The sequence below is a fragment of the Homo sapiens genome, chromosome 7, assembly GCF_000001405.40.
Source record: "Homo sapiens chromosome 7, GRCh38.p14 Primary Assembly".
Lineage (NCBI taxonomy): Eukaryota > Metazoa > Chordata > Mammalia > Primates > Hominidae > Homo > Homo sapiens.
Genome location: NC_000007.14, coordinates 116,962,673 through 116,981,870, shown reverse-complemented (window position 1 = coordinate 116,981,870; position 19,198 = coordinate 116,962,673). Strand labels below are relative to the sequence as shown.

General features: G+C 40.7%; 1 protein-coding gene and 1 pseudogene across 10 annotated transcripts in view, besides 2 other annotated features; one reads left to right on the top strand and one right to left on the bottom strand.

Moving 5' to 3' along the window:
- Positions 1–19,198, bottom strand: part of ST7 (suppression of tumorigenicity 7) — a 276,676-nt gene that overhangs the window by 248,306 nt on the left and 9,172 nt on the right. The gene's annotated exons all lie outside the window — the stretch shown is intronic.
- TPM3P1 (tropomyosin 3 pseudogene 1) lies at positions 8,886–10,974 on the top strand (annotated as a pseudogene).
- Positions 11,944–12,501: an enhancer, noted in NCBI's record as "NANOG hESC enhancer chr7:116609424-116609981 (GRCh37/hg19 assembly coordinates)". NCBI's record gives its function as "activates a minimal SCP1, AML or CMV promoter by ChIP-STARR-seq in primed H9 embryonic stem cells {active_cell/tissue: H9 hESC(primed)}" and the evidence as "EXISTENCE:reporter gene assay evidence [ECO:0000049][PMID:30033119]".
- Positions 18,463–18,512: a silencer, noted in NCBI's record as "silent region_18568". NCBI's record gives its function as "represses an Ori minimal core promoter by ATAC-STARR-seq in GM12878 lymphoblastoid cells {active_cell/tissue: GM12878}" and the evidence as "EXISTENCE:reporter gene assay evidence [ECO:0000049][PMID:35858748]".

The window sequence follows — 19,198 nt, the reverse complement described above, 5'->3', positions numbered from 1 at the left end:
TAAATAAAGTATAGCACATATAATTATGTACAGTACAGTACACTTGAAAAGGATAATAAATGACTATATTCCTGGTTTATGTATTTACTACACTTTTATCATTATTTTAGAGTGTACTCCTACTTAGCTCACTGTAAAACAGCTTCAAGCAGGTCCTTCAGGAGGTATTCCAGAAAGGAGGGATTGTCATTAAGCAACACATGACTGTACATTAAGCGTCTGATAAAGAATTTACAGTTTCAAAGTGTTTCCACAAAAATGCTTGTTATCTACAAAAGAGAATAGAATATAATAGAGAATCCTCACAGACACCATCTTAGTCAAGTAATCACAATGAGAATAATCAATAATGGGACCAAGAAAAATCATTTGCTACCTGATAGGATTCTATGAGAAAAACATAGCATCATCACAGCCAAGGGTACCTACATAACCTGAATTCAATCATGAGGAACCATTGAGGCCAGGTGCAGTGGTTCATACCTATAATCCTGGCATTTTGGGAGGCCGAGGTGGGAGCATCACTAAAGCCCAGGAGTTTGAGACCAGCCTGGGCAAAATAGTGAGAACCCAGCTCTACAAAAATTACAAAAAAATTAGCTGGGTGTGGTGGCATGTGCCTGTGGACCCAGCTACTTGGGAAGCTGAGGGGGAGGATCACTTGAGCCTGGGAGGTCGAGGCTGCAGTGAGCCATGATCACACCACTGCACTCCAGCCTGGGTGACAGAGCAAGATTGTCTATTTAAAAAAAAAAACAAAACTACTGAACAAATTCAAATTGAATGGTATTCTACAAAATAACTGGCATGTATTCATCAAAACTATCAAGGTCAAGGTCACTAAAGTTAAGGAAAAATTGAGGAACTTTTGCAGAAAAAAAGGAGTCTGGAGAGACACGGCTACTAAATGGAAGGCATGATTGTGAACTGAATTATTTTGCTGTAAAGCATATTGTAACCATTGGCAAAACTTGCATAGAATCGACAGAATTAGATGGTGTCACTGTACCAATTTCTGATTAACAAATCTAATTAATTTCTTATTTTGATGAGTATACTGTGGTTATTTTGAAGAACATCTTTGTTTGTATGAAATATACACTAAAGTATTTCAAAGTGATAAAGTACCACATCAGCATCTAATGGTTCTGGAAGAAAAAACTGTACTGTACTTTCAACTTTTCTACAAATTTGAAATTATTTTAAAATAACAATTTTAACTTAAAGGTGAGTGAGGAATGCTACAGAGGCCTCCATATAGACTGCCAGCTGTTTCTTGTGACAACAGCAGCTGGAAGAGCTCAGCTTGTAGACAAACATGCACTGAGGGGAAAAGACCCAGAGCATGTCAAAGTCCAGGGGCTTCCAAGCCAGGATGCACCATCAAGCATCGAGTAAAACTCTCGAGGGAAAAGTGAAGCTCCTGTGAAGGAGCCACAGGACAAGGAGACTAAGGAGCCAATAGGGTATATTGATTATGTGGGACACTTCGAATGTGGGATATTAGGAAGTGTTCGGACTCAGATAAACTACAGGTGTCTAACTTGCAGATGACTCATCTGGCCTCCATGACAACAAAAGTGAAGAATTTTTAAGGTGATCAGGAATATGAATGCTGGGCGTGGTGGCTCATGGCTATAATCCCAGCACTTTGGGAGGCGAGGCGGGCATATCATTTGAGGCCAGGAATTGGAGACGAGCCTGGCCAACATGGCGAAACTCCGTCTCTACTAAAAATGCAAAAATTCGCCGGGAGTTGTGATGGGTACCTGTAATCCCAGTTACTCGGGAGGCTGAGGCAGGGGAATTGCTTGAATCCAGGAGCCGGAGGTTGCAGTGAGCCGAGATCGCAGCACTGCACTCCAGCCCATGCGACAGAGTGAGACTCTGTCTCCAAAAAAAAAAAAAAAAAGAGAAACAAAAGAAAAAGAAAAAAGGAATATGAGCATGATAAATATAATAAAGTTACATTTAGTAAAGCATACTTTGAATGGAGCATGGTGTATGAAGAAAAGCAGTGAGTATCAAGCCAGAAACATGCAGTGGCGCTCACGGTAGAAGGCCTAGGATATTAGGTTTAGGTGTCTCTATTTCATTTGCTAGGCAATAGAAAGACATTAAAGAATTTGCAAGCAATATCCCAGCATATAGGATAGATTAGGAGAGATTAGAGGCAGGAAGACCAGTTGGGAGATTACTGTAATAAGATTATAAGTGTTGAAATAAAGGCAGAAGTAGGAAGCAAAGAGAGATTAAGGCAATACAAAGTTAATGGGATTTAGTAACTTAACGTATATAAAGGAAAGAAAAGATGAAGACTATTAAGAGCCTTGAAGAGAAATTGCACTCTGTTAAAAGGAAGAGATAGAGCTAGTAACCTATGCCTTAGTGAAAATATACAACAGGCAATTGAAAATGCAAACCTGGAAGTTGGGAGAGGACAGAAAGGAGAAAGATCTCACTTTCATTTACACAAGCTTATTGAAAGATACAGCATAAGACAAGAAGACTGCTGTAAATGGAATCTTGAGAAATGCCTCTTGTTAGGAAAAGAGACAGTGAAACAAAAAAATATTTCAATGAGTCAGAGAAAATGTCTTCTGCTAGTTATTTTTCCATTTGTCCCTCCCCTTCCACTTTCCCTGCTGCTTGCCCTAGGCTTCTGGTTGGGTTCAGCCAATGAAAGACCCCAACAGGGGATTAATAGGGTGGGAGAAAAATAGGCACAGAGCGTTTTCTCCAGGCTCCCAATGCACAGATTGGCTATGTCTCTCCACTGAAGGCCACAGCCTTTCCACATGGCTGCCTCCCCAGGTTTTAGAGCTGTGCCCAAGGATGGTCATGGCTCCCTTCTGCTGCTTACTCCAGGGTACTGTGCTATCCTTTGTTACCAATAAAACATTCTTTATTATTATCCTGCCAATACCTCTGTAAATAGCCTTTTATTAAATTTTCTTCAGTTGCCAATTTGAATGCATGATTTGGGCCAGGCGCAGTGGCTCACACCTGTAATCTTAGCACTTTGGGAGGCCAAGGCAGGCAGATCACCTGAGCTCAGGAGTTTGAGACTAGCCTGGGCAACATAGCAAAACTCTGTCTCTACTAAAAATACAAAAAATTAGCTGGACCTGGTGGTGCATGCCTGTAGTCCCAGCTACTCGGAGGCTGAGGCACGAGAATCGCTTGAACCTGGGAGCTGTAGGTTTGCAGTGAGCCAAGATTATGCCACTGCACTCCAGTCTGGGCAACAGAGAAAGACTGTCTCTAGATAGATAGATTAGATAGATAGATAGATAGATAGAATGTATGATATGTTTCCTGCTACGACCTTCATTTGAATATAGTGCCCTATCTTTGTCAGTCATAATAATCTCCATAATGTATATTGAAGCATTTAATTTATCCCACTATCCCTAAACAAAGTTCTAGTCAACAGCCTTTTCTAGAATGTAATTGGTCCATTCTATCTTTGATCTCCTCTGTTGTCTTTCAAGATTCTGGATTCTAAGATACCAGAAGTAGAATACATCCTCTCCAAATCCTGTGGAAGCTGGTGCCTCCTGGGAAAAGGAAATCGGGGGATATCAGAAAACTTCACACCTGCAAGTCAGGAAGCAACTTCTTTCTTATCTGGTAAGAGAGACATTGTTCCACAGACACTGGCCTGGCCTTCCTCAACTATGGTTCTTCTCTGAAAATGTCATGTAAGTCTCCATGTTTTACCAAAAGATATGAGGCTGGCCAGAAGGATATGAGGCTGGCCCATGGAATGATTCAGCCAAGCTCAGCTGAGCAGATGAGAATGAGAATGGTAAAAGCTCCACTGACCAGGCACAGGAGAGAGAACTGAGGAGAGAAGTGAGAAATGAGAAGTAGAAGCCAGAGGAGGGCTCTGGAAATGTTACTGGGGTTATGAATTGTATCTCCTTTAAGAAATAACAGTATAGAAAGAAATTCCTTTTCAATTTTTATTGTTTTTTCAGGTATGGCCTGTGCTTCTTTAAAAATACCACCACTCGGCCGGGCGCGGTGGCTCACGCCTGTAATCCCAGAACTTTGGGAGGCCAAGGCCGGACGAATCATGAGGTCAAGAGATCGAGACCATCCTGACCAACATGGTGAAACTCTGTCTCTACTAAAGATACAAAAAAATTAGCTGGGCGTGGTGGCACATGCCTGTAGTCCCACCTACTTGGGAGGCTGAGGCAGGAGAATTGCTTGAACCTGGGAGGCAGAGGGTGCAATGAGCCAAGATCGTGCCACTGCACTCCAGCCTGGCAAAACAGTGAAACCTTGTCTCAAAATAAAAAAATATATAAAAACATAAAAAAATACTACCACTCTTGGACTGATCTGTCTGATCCCAGCACAAATTAGATTATATTTACAAGGCAGAAGCTCTGTGGGTGCCTTTCTTCCTTCCCACCCCTCCCTCACTTGAATGCAGCTCTCCAGCAAGACCTGCCTCCACATTAGAGGAGTGCCAATAAACAGGAAGCATTCTTCCCAGAGAAACATACCAGAAATCCATTTATTGAAACCCACAACATCTGCATTTTTTGCAGTACAGTCACACTTTTGAAAGAGTAGTTTGGAATATAATGCCTACACCTTACTTACTTAGTGGGGTCAATAAAATTAGATTATTACATGGAAAGAAAATTACGAATGCATCATATACACAGAATCAGAATGTTAGAACAGGGCCCTTGGAGAACAGAGTCTAGACATTTTAATGGTCCTCAGAATATCTGACATTACTTAAGCAAAAGAAAAACAAATTAATTAATTGGTAGCCAAAGTGAGCAACTGATTATAACTATCATAATCTCAGATTCCAAATTTTTATTTTCATCACAAAAAGCCTCCTTATTCTAACTGACTTTAGAGTGGAGGCTAAAACTAATCTTTTAAAATGAATAGATAGTATTTTGAAAGACCTATATAATTGGAAATGAAAATTAAAATAACAATGTCATTTAACACTCATCAAACTAGCAAGAATGTTGAAGTTGGGTAACATCAAGACTAGTGAAGATGTTGAGAAACAGGAGTTTGCATCTATTACTGGTGAGGTATATAATGGTACAACCATGTGGTAAACTGAATCATTATTCATAATTCTTCACACCCTCCCTGTACTAGAATTCTAATCCACATCATTGCCAGATAACTTTGCAGTACCATTCACTAGAATATACAGAATATATAGCCCTACCTCACGGATGTTGGGCTTGGCCTTGTGACAAGCTGGGGTCCATGAAATGTGAGCAAAAATGACAGCAAGTCAGTTCTATGTATGGCCCACATGAGGTTTTACATATTTCCACTTGGCTTCTTTTGCTTCTGCCACTTTCCATGAGGAAAACATGTCCTAGGTAACTGTTAGTCCAAGAGAATGAGAGACATGGAGCAGACCTGAACCCAACCTCAATCCAACCTGCAGACTGGAGCTCAGTGCCTGAAGTCCAGAATCCTGCCCAGCTAATTTTTGTTGCAATCTACCCACAGGTTGACAGGGAAAAATAAATACTTACTATATGAAGCCACTGAGTTTTGAACTTGGGGTCTTTTGGGGTTTGTTGTTGTTGTTGTTATTGTTGTTGTTTGAGAGAGTCTTGCTCTGTCACCCAGGCTGGAGTGTAGTGGCCTGATCTCGGCTCACTGCAAACTCCGTCTCCTGGGTTCAGGCAATTCTCTCCCTCAGCCTCCCAAGTAGCTGAGATTGCAGGCTCCTGCCACCACGCCCAGCTAATTTTTTTTGTATGTTTTAGTAGAGAAGGGGTTTCACCATGTTGGCCAGGCTGGTCTCGAACTCCTGACCTCAGGTGATCTGCCTGCCTCGGCCTCCCAAAGTGCTGGGATTACAGGTGTGAGCCACCATGCCCAGCCTTGTTTCTTTTAATGTAGCATCACTACAGCAATCTCTGACTGAGACAACCATTCTGTAAAGGAATCTGGCAATACCCAGTAAAGTTGAAGATGCTCATATGGCCCAGCAAACGGCACTTCCAAGTATGTGTCCTAAAGCAGTGGTTCTCAGACCAATCAGATCTAATATTTCCTTTTAAAGGAAATTATCTGAAACACCCTTTTTCTATTCTATAACAAACATAATAGATAATCTACCTAATCCATATAAATTTCAAAGAAAAAAAAAAAAGGCTGGGCATGGTGGTTCATGCCTGTAATTCCAGCACTTTAGGAGGCCAAGGCAGGCAGATCACTTGAGGTCAGGAGTTCAAGACCAGCCTGGCCAACATGATGAAACTCTGTCTCTAGTAAAAATACAAAAATGAGCCAGGTGTGGAGCCAGGCACCTGTAATCCCAGCTACTCGGGAGACTAAGGAAGGAGAACCGCTTGAACCCGGGAGGTGGAGGCTGCAGTGAGCCAAGATCATGCCACTGCACTCTAGCCTGGGAGACAAAGCGAGATTCCATCTCAAAAAAAAAAATTGTTTTCAAAAAACCCCCATAATATCTGATATGGTTTGGCTGTGTCCCCATCCAAATCTCATCTTTAATTGTAGCTCCCATAATCCTCATGTGTCATGGGAGGGACTTAGTGGGAGGTAATTGAATCATGGGGGTGGGTTTTTCCCATGCTGTTGTGATAGTGAATAAGTTTCATGAGATCTGATGGTTTTATAAAGGGCAGTTCCCCTGCACACGCTCTCTTGCCTGCTACCATGTAAGACATGCCTTTGCTCCTCCTTCGCCTTCTGCCATGACTATGAAGCCTCCTCAGCCATGTGGAACTGTGAGTCCATTAAACCTCTTTTTCTTTATAAATTACCCAGTCTCGGGTATTTCTTCACAGCAGTATGAAAATGGACTAATGCAATAGCCTAACTAAAATATGAAAAAAATACATAAAATATTACTTATAATCAGGGCAGAATTGAGATGAGGCAAGCAAGGTGCTTAGGGTGCAAAATTTAAGCAGGCAAAGTAGTGAAAGTACTGAACCTGCACTTGCAGGACACTTGCATTTGTATCTCCTCAAATTTTGCACCTAAGCAACCTCACTTGCCTCACCTTAGTCCTGGCCCTATTTAGAAAATATAATTATATTAAAAATGCAAATTTTTTCATGACTTTGGTAGAGGATTTAATGAAGTAAACAGACATTTGCACTCCTATATACTGTCATCATGAATGCAAAACCTACAAATGCAGGATGATACAAGTGTGTTACTTTGTTCGGAACTTGGTAAAATTTCCGAACAAAGTAAACTCTTCCCTCAATGTGCATGATAGTTTAAATTCAAAAAGAAAAGGCCCGGCGCAGTGGCTCACGCCTGTAATCCCAGCACTTTGGGAGACCGAGGCAGGTGGATCACGAGGTCAGGAGATCGAGACCATCCTGGCTAACACGGTGAAACCCCGTCTCTACTAAAAATACAAAAAATTAGCTGGGCGTGGTGGCAGATGCCTGTAGTCCCAGCTACTTGGGAGGCTGAGGCAGGAAGGAGAATGTCGTGAACCCAGGAGGCGGAGCTTGCAGTGAGCCGAGATCACGCCACTGCACTCCAGCCTGGGCGACACAGTGAGGCTCTGTCTCAAAAAAAAAAAAAGAAAAGAAAAGAAAAAGCATATACTAAAACCATGCCAAAAATACTTTGGTTTTATAGACAAAATGGAGGTTCTAGAGTCAGATCATCATACAAAGAATTTTTAAGTACAAGAATACCTGAGGGGGATATTTAAAAATTATATGGGAGAAAGGCAGACACACACGTCACAGGTCATCATACATCCTTTGTCCTCACCCTCTCCCAATGTCAATAAGGCTCTCCCAATCAATAATTGAAAATATTCCTCCTGCTGGCATTTCCTGAAGAAAAAAGAAATATGTAAAAATTTAAAAAATAAAATGTCCCCCACAAATTTCCAAACTTTCCCTAGTTGATCCCATTACTATTGATAACACTTTCCCTTGATAAATCAAATACATGTGTAAAGAGGTCCATGCAGCATTAATTTACCTATTTATGGTAAAATGGATATGCCATGGTATACTCATGCAATGAAATACTATATAACAATTAAATTAAGTATATCTACAACATGGGAAGATCTCATAAACATAATGTTTGATAATAGAAACAAGTTGCAGAAGGGTATGGGCAGTAGTCTATCATGTACATTTTTAAAACTCACAAAATAACTATACATTATTGATGAATACATTAAATACATGGGAACAATACCAACTTCAGGACAATGGTTACCAATAAAGAAAACATGTGGGGAAAGGGATGTAGGAGTACCTTTACCTGTCTAGGTAACAGTTTATTTTTAAAAACAGAGAGGCCAGGAGCAGTGCTCACACCTGTAATCCCAACACCTTGGGAGGCCAAGGCAGTAGCATCGCTTGAGCCCAGGAGTTTGAGGTCAGTCTGGGCAACATGGGGAGACCCCATCTTTACAAAAAGTTAAAAAGTAGTCTGACGTGGTGGCACACATGTGTAGTCCCAGCTACTCGGGAGGCTGAGATGGAAGGATTGCTTGAGCCTGGGAGGTCAAGGCTGCAAAAAGCCATGATTGTGCCACTGCACTCCAGCCTGGGTGATAGCACAAGAGCTTGTCTCAATTAACCAATCAATAAAGAGAGAGAGAGACAGAGGACAAGAAATACACAAGATGAGCCTAGAACATCTTGTAGTGCTAAAAAGTAAGGAAATTCTCAAAAGAAAAACCCACTATCATGGGAGTATGTCAAAGGAACACAGAAGCCAAGCAGCAGAGCTCTCGATGGACCAAAACTGGAAAAATGTGAACAATGAAATAAAGTAGTATTGGATTATAACCTGTATAAAATAAATATCCATGAATCCATACTGCTATAAACAAATGAATGGATAAGTGAATAAACAAATGGGTGAGGGAGAGGAGGCTGCAACACCAAGCAGAGGAGGCAGGAATCGGAGTGCGAGCAGTAGCTGAGTGGGCACCATGGCTGGGATCACCACCATCGAGGCGGTTAAGGGCAATATCCAGGTTCTGCAGCAGCAGGCAGATGATGCAGAGGAGCGAGCTGATCGTCTCCAGTGAGAAGTTGAGGGAGAAAGGTGTTCCCAGGAACAGGCTGAGGCTGAGGTGGCCTCCTTGAACCGTAGGATCCAGCTGGTTCATGAGAAGCTGGACTGTGCTCAGGAGCGCCCAGCCACTGCCCTGCAAAAGCTGGAAGAAGCGGAAAAAACTGCTGATGAGAGTGAGAGAGGTATGAAGTTTATTGAAAACCAGCCCTTAAAAGATGAAGAAAAGATGGAACTCCAGGAAATTCAACTCAAAGAAGCTAAGCACATTGCAGAAGAGGCAAATAGGAAATATGAAGAGGTAGCTCATAAGTTGGTGATCATTGAAAGAGACTTGGAACGCACAGAGGAACAAACTGAGCTGGCAGAGTACCGTTGCCGAGAGATGGATGAGCAGATCAGACTGATGGACCAGAATCTGAAGTGTCTGAGTCCTGCTGAAGAAAAGTACTCTCAAAAAGAAGACAAATATGAGAAAGAGATCAAGATTCTTACTGATAAATTCAAGGAGGGAGAGGCCCGTGATGGGTTTGCTGAGAGATCGGTAGCCAAGCTGGAAAATACAATTGAAGACCTGGAAGATAAACTCAAATGCACCAAAGGACAGCGCCTCTGTACACAAAAGATGCTGGTCCAGACTCTGCTTGACCTGAATGAGATGTAGAAAGCCCAGTCCCACCCTGCTGCTGCTCCTCCCTCTGACCCTGACTCTGCCTGAGGCCAGCCTGCCTGAAGCTGACCTTTAACTGAGGACTGATCTTTAACTGGAAGGCTGCTTTCCGCTTTTGCCTCCCGCTCCTCCCCTGTGTCTTTTTCCCCAAACTGTCTCTGCCTCTTCCCGGAGATTCCAGCTGGGCTAGAGGCTGAGCACCTTTGGAAACAACATTTAAGGGAATGTGAGCACAATGCATAATGTCTTTAAAAGGCATATTGTGATGTACACATTTGTGATTACCTTTTTTGTTGCTTTGTAGCAACCATTTGTAAAACATTCCAAGTAATTCCACAGCCCTGAAGCAGCAATCTAATCCTTTTCTCACTTTTGGAAGGTGACTTTTCAGCTTAATGCATATTGCCCGCTCCATAGAGAAGAAAAGGTATAGGCCTGCCTTACTGAGAGCCAAACAGAGCCCAGGGAAAGACTCCACTATTGGAAACCTCATTGCTCTGTACAAAGTACCAGCTAAACCAGAAAGGTGATTCCAGGAGGAGTTAGCCAAATAACAACAAAAACAAACAAAAATGTGCTGTTCAAGTTTTCAGCTTTAATATACCTTTGGACAACATTATTTCTTTTTTCTTATTTTTTTTTTCATTAGAATTGACCAAATCAGGATGTAAGAACTCTGAGACCAAATTTTTGTCCCATCTCTACCCCCTCCCAACTGCTTACAGAATGGATCATGTGACCCTTATGTTGAGGTGACCACTTAATTGCTTTCCTGCCTCCTTGAAAGAAAGATGATTATGTTTTTGCCACTGATTCAGCCATGTGAAACTCATTACCCTTTTCTGGGTTTGAAGCTGCTGTCTCTAAAAGTGCCATCTCATTGTGCTTTGTATCAGTCAGTGCTGCAGAAATCTTGAATAGCTTATGTACAAAACTTTTTAAATTTTATATTATTTTTAAACTTTGCTTCTTTGGGTTTGTGACACCCTGGCCATCCCACCTGGCTGTGACAGCCTCTGCACTCTGTGGGCTGGCAGTTTACTGATTTTTTAAAGTTTCTTTCCCTACCGAGTCCCCATTTTCTGGTAAGGTTTCTAGGAGGTCTGTTAGGTGTACATCCTGCAGCTTACTGGCTTAAAATGTACTCTCCTTTGATGTGGTCTCTTTGGGTCCAATTGGGAGAAAGAGAAATCAATAGTGCAACTGTTTTGATACTGAATATTGACAAATGTCTTTTTGAAATAAAGAACCAGTCCCTCCAAAAAATAAAAAAAAATAGTGGGAGAGAAGAGACAAATCTCCCATGCAGAAGAATTCAAAATAATTGATATAGAACACTACCTTTGAGGTGGGTGAAAGAGTGAATATACAAACAGGTAATGACCAGACCATATATAAAAATAGAACTCTGACTCACAACCTACAACAATCAGTCCAGAAAGCCAAACCACAATGCTATGGACTGAATATTTGTGTCACTCCAAAATTCATACATTGAAGCCTAATCCCCACTGTGATGGTACCTGGAGCTGGGGCTTTTGGGAGGTAATTAGGTCATGACGATGGAGTGCTCTGTAAATGAGATTAGTTCCCTTATAAGAAGAGACACGAGAAAGCTTGCTTCCTCTCTCTGCTCTCTTCCATGTGAGGACACAAGGAGAAGGCCATCTGCAAACCAGGAAGCAAGCCCTCCAGACACAGGATCTTCCAGCCCCTTAATCTTGCACTTCCCAGCCTCCAGAACTGTACGTAATAAATGTTTGTTGTTGAAGCCACTGAGCCCTATGGTATATTTGTTAGAGTAGCCTAAACTGACTAAGCACAAAACTTATGTAACAATTAGCCCAACAGTCAGGACTTGACCAGTAACTAACAGCTTCCCTAATTTCTGTACCCACTTTTAAATTAAGACTTGCTGGAGAAAGCAAAATATGTACCACTAATCAATAACACAGGATGTTCCACCCTCTCCACGTCAGCAGCCTCCAAACAGGGCCTACCTGGAGCTTTCCCTTTCTCTATAACATAGCTTTCCTTTTTTTGTTGTTTTTGTTTTGTTTTGTTTTGTTTTATTTTGTTTTTTGAGACAAAGTTTCACTCTTGTTGCCCAGGCTGGAGTGCAATGGCGCGATCTCGGCTCACTGCAACCTCTGCCTCCTGGGTTCAAACGATTCTCCTGCCTCAGTCTCCCGAGTAGCTGAGATTACAGGCATGCACCACCACGCCCAGCTAATTTTGTATTTTTACTAGACACAGGGTTTCTCCATGTTGGTCAGGCTAGTCTCAAACTCCTAACTTCAGGTGATCCGCCCACCTTGGCCTCCCAAAGTGCTAGGATTATAGGCATGAACCACCATGCCCAGCTGCTTTCCCTTTTTTCTACAATAAAGCGTTCCTACTCCTCTGACTGCCTCCAAGTCTCTGCCAAACACAAGTGATGATGGCTGACTCCTTTGTTATGGGAGGCTTTGAATAAATAGCCTTTACTTGTTCTCATTTAGATGGTCCTCATTTATTTCCACAAGAGGAAACAAAGCTTCATTCCTTAAGTGCAGCCTGTGCAAAGCGAACTCCTTCCCAAGAGCACAGTATGAGGAAGTAAAGGGTAACTTTACAGTGAAGAAACCTGATCAACACTCTCTCTGCCAGGGGATCAAGGTCAATATCAACAGTGATAAGTTGGTATTATGTCATGACAAAAATGGCACTTGACCTCTGTGGTCTTCCTCCCAAAAACTCAAAATCCCAGAAAATCATAAGAAGAATATCAAACAAATCTCAATTAAGCGATAGTCTAAAAAATTCTTGACTGGTACTCCTCAAAATTGTTAAGGTTATCAAAAACAAGGAAAGTCTGAAAAACTGCCACATCCAAGAGGATTCTAGGGAGATATGATACTCCTCAAAATTGTAAAGTTATCAAAAACAAGGAAAGTCTGAAAAACTGCCACATGCAAGAGGATTGTAGGGAGATATGATACTCCTCAAAATTGTAAAGTTATCAAAAACAAGGAAAGTCTGAAAAACTGCCACATCTAAAAGGGTTCTAAAAAATAGTTTTTTTGAAAAAGAGAGAGAAAGCAATATGAACACTTGTGGCGAAATGTTAACAAACGTTAAATATGGATGATGGGTCACCCCACTATTATTATTTCTCATATTATTTCCTGTCCCTTTCTATACAGGTAAAATATATCAGAATTTCAATTATTTTTAATGCTTCAAAATGAACTCCAATTTAACCCCAACAGATTCTAGCTTTTCCCTCTTTTTCACCCTCCCATCTGTCACACTGACAGTTTTCTGAAGGGACCAAGCAGATGCACATTCTCATATTCTCCAAGCAGCCTGGGAATTCCTAAAGTTATTCCAGTAACTACCACTATGATTTGAAAGCTTTCTCTCATCCCCTTGTTTTGGTATTTATTTCTCCTTTGTGCTCTACACATTTTACTTTGCATTATAGTTTTGTGCCCATTTTTCTTTCCCTGAGTGCTCAATATCTCAAGATACTGAAGACAGGGACCATGTCTTGGTCATCATTCCATTCCTCTACACCCGCACCAAGCACTGCGACTCGCTAATAGTATGACTCAATGAATTTATTATTTGATTGTAAGAGAAAAGAGGTTCAACATAAAGTCCTTTTCTAAGCCAGGCATGGTGGCGCACACCCGTAGTCGAAATAATCAGAAGGTTGAGGCAGAAGGATTGCTTGAGCCCAGGAATTCGAGTCCAGCACGGTCAACATAGTAAGACACTGTCTCAAGAAGAAGCAAAAAGAAGGAAGAAGAAGGAAGAAGGAGGGAGGGAGGGAGGGAGGGAGGAAAGGAAGGAAGGAAGGAAGGAAGGAAGGAAGGAAGGAGGGAGGGAGGGAGGGAGGGAGGGAGGGAGGGAGGGAGAGAGGGAAGTAGGGGAGGGGATAGGGAGGAGAATTTGTAAAACAAAACAAAAAAAGTGAATATTAGAAAAAAAATTTAAATCCTTTTTTATAGTGCAACGAATCAGTATGAACAAAATCTGAGAAATGATTAATGAAATTTAGCTTTGAAATTACCAATGAGGTTTAAGAAGTTCCAGGAAAATTATGAAAGCAGGTAACAGAATACAAAGAGTTAAGGAGCAAAGTTAAGAAAGAGATAATATAAGCTTATTCATTTAGACCAGGAGTGGAGCTCCTCATGCTGCTATCATATTTCACCCCAAAACTGAATGGAAACAGAAAACCTACAGAGGACATACATGTAACTATGAAAATGAAGAACAGATGCATTTAAAAAGAACTATCAGTCTAGAAACTGACTTAAGAGAAAAAGCTGATTGAGTTAGACACCAAGAAGTACAAAACAAAGTCAATATTATAGTAGGAGCCACAACAGTAACTACAAGTAAATATCTAAAATGTATTGAGCACTAGCAAGTGCTGGCACTGGTTAAGGCTTTTTTCATAGTATCTCATTTAATCCTCCTAACAGTCCTATGAGGTACTCATCATTATCATGCTCAGTTATAAACAAGGTAACTAGTGTTAAGATCACAGAACTGGTAAATGACTGTTGACCTTTTTGCTAGAATGTGGTAAGGGCGCCATCATTTTTTATCGCAGGTCAGTAATTCAAGAATGGAAAGGCTGGACACAATTAGCAGAAAGGTCCACTGGGACTGGACCCGCTAGAGCTGTAGACCTGCCTCTGGGACACTGACCTGCACAAGCTGCCTGACCAAATTCACTCCTTAATGTCCACAATAGGAACTGGTAAGGCAGGGAGAGGGGACAGCAGTCCTAAGCACCAGGAGCCAGAAGTGAGAGTAGCGCAAGTGGAGCACTCAAAGGCAGAATTGGTCATTAATGGCCACCACCACTGCGGGTATGTGAGCCCTACCAAACTCTGCAGGGGAATGGGGTCTTCCAGAACAGGCTCAGAATTACTACCTATTCATACCAATATAGCCTTCGTCCTACACATCTAGGAGAACATTGCTTGAGAAACCCAGGTTTATATGAGTTATTTTGCAATTAGTGGCAAAAAAAAAAAAAAAGAGTGATAGAAACTCACAAATAGCAAAGTGAATCATTTGATATTTTGTAACACTTTATCACATACATCAAGGGGTTTGATTTCCTAACCTCCATTTTATTTCTGAAAGTAACAAGTGATACATTAATTTTTTATTGATTTGAAAATTTTACATCCTATTTTGGATAATTTGTTACATCCTGTGGTAAGTAAACTAGGACAGAGAATCACAGGCATACAACATTGTGCTGCAAGAAGCAATAGTTACTTGTTCTCCAGTGCCTCTAAGAAAAGGGTGAAAGCAATGTGCCAGGACTAGAAGGGAGCTGCTTTCAATTAAATGCAAGGTGAAAATAATGTCATTTCACAATCACAGCTGGGCTTCCTGCCTAGAGGGGATGCTTTGCTTAAATTACTTAAAATCTCCAGTAAGTAAATTGATTTGAAAGGATTGACATTGCCTGTCTAGCTGCCATGTTTTAATCTTCTGGGTGACTAGTCAATACTAAAAAGAGATTTCCATAAAGCCAAGTATCAGTAGCATTCACTTATGAACACCAAGTTTTTAATGAAATGCAACATATATTATCGGCTGGGCGCAGTAGCTCATGCCTGTAATCCCAGCACTTTGGGAGGCCAAGGCAGGCAGATCACCTGAGGTCAGGAGTTCAAGACCAGCCTGGCCAACATAGTGCAACATCGTCTCTACTAAAAATAAAAAAATTAGCCAGGTGTGGTGGCAGGTGCCTGTAATCCCAACTACTCAGGAGGCTGAAGCCCGAGAATCACTTCAACCTGGAAGGTGGAGGTTGCAGTGAGCCAAGATCATGCCACTGCACTCCAGCCCTGGTGACAGAGGAAGACTCCTATCTTAAAAAAAAAAAAAAAAAAAAGAAAGAAAAAAGAAAAAAGCAACATATATTACGGAAATAATTAATAACTGCAACAAATAAGTGTAATCCACTAAAAAAGATACTGTCTTAATGTCTACATATTTTTATATCTTTTGTTTTTGCAGGTGTTACAGACAGAAGAAAACATGTTAAAATGGACCTTATATTTTATTTCTAGGTCATGTTTATTTCTAGAAAGTTAGTTGGGTATGAACCAATGGCCAGGTGGGCATGAACCAATGAACCACGTTCAAGACATGATAGGGGAAAATCTCTTGCCTGTGACCACTACTATACAACTACATTTCCCCTGCTAGATCCAACCTGCTCATCACTACACTTATAAATATCATTTCAGTTTTCTCTTTGGACTGAGCAATAATAAATCTTTGTTTCATCTTAGCAGCTGACCATATTTCATGCAAACTTTGAATTTAGGTTCTCTTTAGCCCCAACAGTAACGTGTTGTTTGTCTTATCTTTTTCAAATATCTTATTATTTTTCATCACATTTATTCTCTTGGTTAAAACTGAAAACATTCATTCAAGAATCACAGTTCCTTCAACTCTCCTTTAAAAGCTACCAGAAATTGTTACATTATTTTCTATAGATAAGCAATTAAAAAACAGTGTACAAAACATTTATAGGAATACTTTTTAAAAAAATTTTTATTATACTTTAAGTTCTGGGATACATGTGCAGAACGTGCAGGTTTGTTACATAGGTATACCTATATGCATCGTGGTGGTTTGCTGCACCCATCAACGTGTTATCTAGGTTTTAAGCCTCGCATGCATTAGGTATTTGTCCTAATGCTCTCCCTCCCCTTGCCCCCCACCCTTCCACAGGCTCCGATGTGTGATGTTCCCCTCCCTGTGTCCATAGAATTTTTTTTTTTTTTTTTTTTTGAGACGGAGTCTCACTCAGTCGCCCAGGCTGGAGTGCAGTGGTGCAATCTCAGCTCACTGCAAGCTCCGCCTCCCGGGTTCACGCCATTCTCCGGCCTCAGCCTCTGGAGTAGCTGGGACTACAGGCGCCCGCCACTACACCCAGCTAATTTTTTTGTATTTTTAGTAGAGATAGCGTTTCACCGTGTTAGCCAGGATGGTCTCAATCTCCTGACCTCATGATCTGCCCGCCTCGGCCTCCCAAAGTGCTGGGATTACAGGCGTGAGCCACCGCGCCCGGCCGTCCATGGAATATTTCTATAGCCTAAACTAAGTCTGCATATCTTTGCTCTAACTTAATTGATGTTATGTTGCCATGACTTCTGTGCTTTCCCTCTAAGAACAGAATTTGCTTGTTCAAATAATGTAAGAGAAAGAAAAAGTTTTCTCTTAGGATAATAACTTTAATTGATTAGATTTGCTATAAGATTTTTAAGATTCCATTTCAGATTTTTATTGAATGATAATGCATATACAACTTCCAGTTTGGGGAAAGAACGATTGGGCAGCAAATTTCTAATATTTCAAAATTGTAATTTAGCTTCTCATGCTTCATCTCTCAAATGTAAGGGTACAATTTAAAATACTTTCCTTAAAAAGCCTTATGAAAATGGCCAAACATTATATTTCTGCAACATAAATAAGCTAAGACAAAAATTCCTCTCTAAACCACGCCAACTCTGAGCCTGAACTGAAAAAAGTATAATTTGTTTTATTTTGCTTTAAATACAAGATACCAATGATAGAAAATAGAAATTCTGCACAAACATACACACGCTCCCCAACCCAAGCCCCAGGGAAAAGTACAAACTAGATCCCACTAGTTCTTATTATGTAACACTATACAAATCTGAATCAATTGAGTGGAGCAGGTGTAATAAATTGCAAAACACCCCAAGAGCATTATTTTATTAGCTCTATTAGGAACGTTCAATAAACAGGGTCTATCAAATAAATGAAAAAACCCAATTTGTAGGGAAGTAAATTTCATTCTCATTCCCAAGACAGAGTCCAGAAACTGGAAAAGCTTAACAAAGAGAACTGTAAGCATTCTACTATTACCTGTCACTAATAAAATAATACTTTAGAATGGTATTAACAACTGACCAAAACAAGACAAAACTCTAAATCTAGGTCACACAATAACTCCAGATATGAGCAGCTTATGTGTAAAAACTACTTCCTTATTTAAGACGATTTTATACTTCAGAGTGTTTCTGTTTGTGCTGTTTTTAAATGTTAATTTTTTTAAATAATAAAACAAATAGTCCTTCCTCACTGACCTAAGAGATGCCTTTAAAGTCCTTTAACGCTCTACAACCTTGCTCAAAATTTCTGAAAGACTGATACTTAACCACAGTCTTTTATTAGATGCGGAGGTCAACTTAAGAACCAAAGTCGCAGCACTTTGGGAGGCCGAGGCGGGCGGATCACGAAGTCAGGAGTTTGAGACCACCCTGGCCAATATGGTGAAACCCTGTCTCTACTAAAAATACAAAAATTAGCCAGGTATGGTGGCATGCACCTGTAGTCCCAGCTACTCAGGAGGCTGAGGCAGAAGAATCGCTTGAACCCAGGAGGCGGAGTTTACAGTGAGCCGAGATGGCACCACTGAACTCCAGTGCACTCCTACAGAGTGAGACTCCGTCTCCAAAAAAAAAAAAAAAAGAAAAAAAAGAACCAAAGTTAGGGTTCTCCACAGAGTATAAGTGTAACCAGTGCACTTTCAGTTAATTCAGAATGGAAAAAAATGCTTTCTCAGATAAATGTTGCCTTACTTTGCTGAGAGATTTGGTAACTGCAATTAAACAGTGATACCACAGCCACAGCAACATAAAATACTGCTACAGCTAACTAACTGGGCCTGTCAGTTCCTTATTTTAGCACAGTAGGTAGTATAGGAATGCCTGCTAGTTTTAAATGATGGGTAATGGTAACACATCAGCAACTGTCTTGCCCCACTGTAACAAGAAAAATGAGTTTCATTACAAGTTCTCTCTTCTGGAAAATCCAAAGCCCTTTACAGATATCTTTACAACAACATCTCAAATACAATAATGATGTTGAGAGATATTATTCCACATTTACAACAAACAGACAGTAGTGTGGTTTCAAACAATCCAATAACCCATTATCTTGCTTGGTGCAGTTTTAGAAAGAATATCGAGGATAAAAAAGATTCTATTATATAGTTTAATGTGTCATTTCACTGTGAGAGCCAAGCCTATAGAATATAGAATATAGCCTTCTGAGGAAAAGACCTACTATAATGCCTCAGATTTAAATAGTATTTTACAGCCTACAAAGCACTTATTCATTTTACAGTCTCATATGAAGATTGCATTCTAGTCAAGGGACCAAGTCTATCATCAAGCTGTAAGGCCAAAGTCAGTAACTATCTCAACCACACAAATATTCATAGAATGCCCAGACATCCAAATAGGAAGAGAGAAAGTCAACTACCCCTGTTTGCAGACGACATGATCCTATATCTAGAAAACCCCAGAGTCACATAATTAAAGAGCTTCTGCACAGCAAAAGAAACTATCATCAGAGTGAACAGGCAACCTACAGAATGGGAGAAAATGTTTGCAATCTACCCATCTGCCCAAGTCTAATATCCAGAAT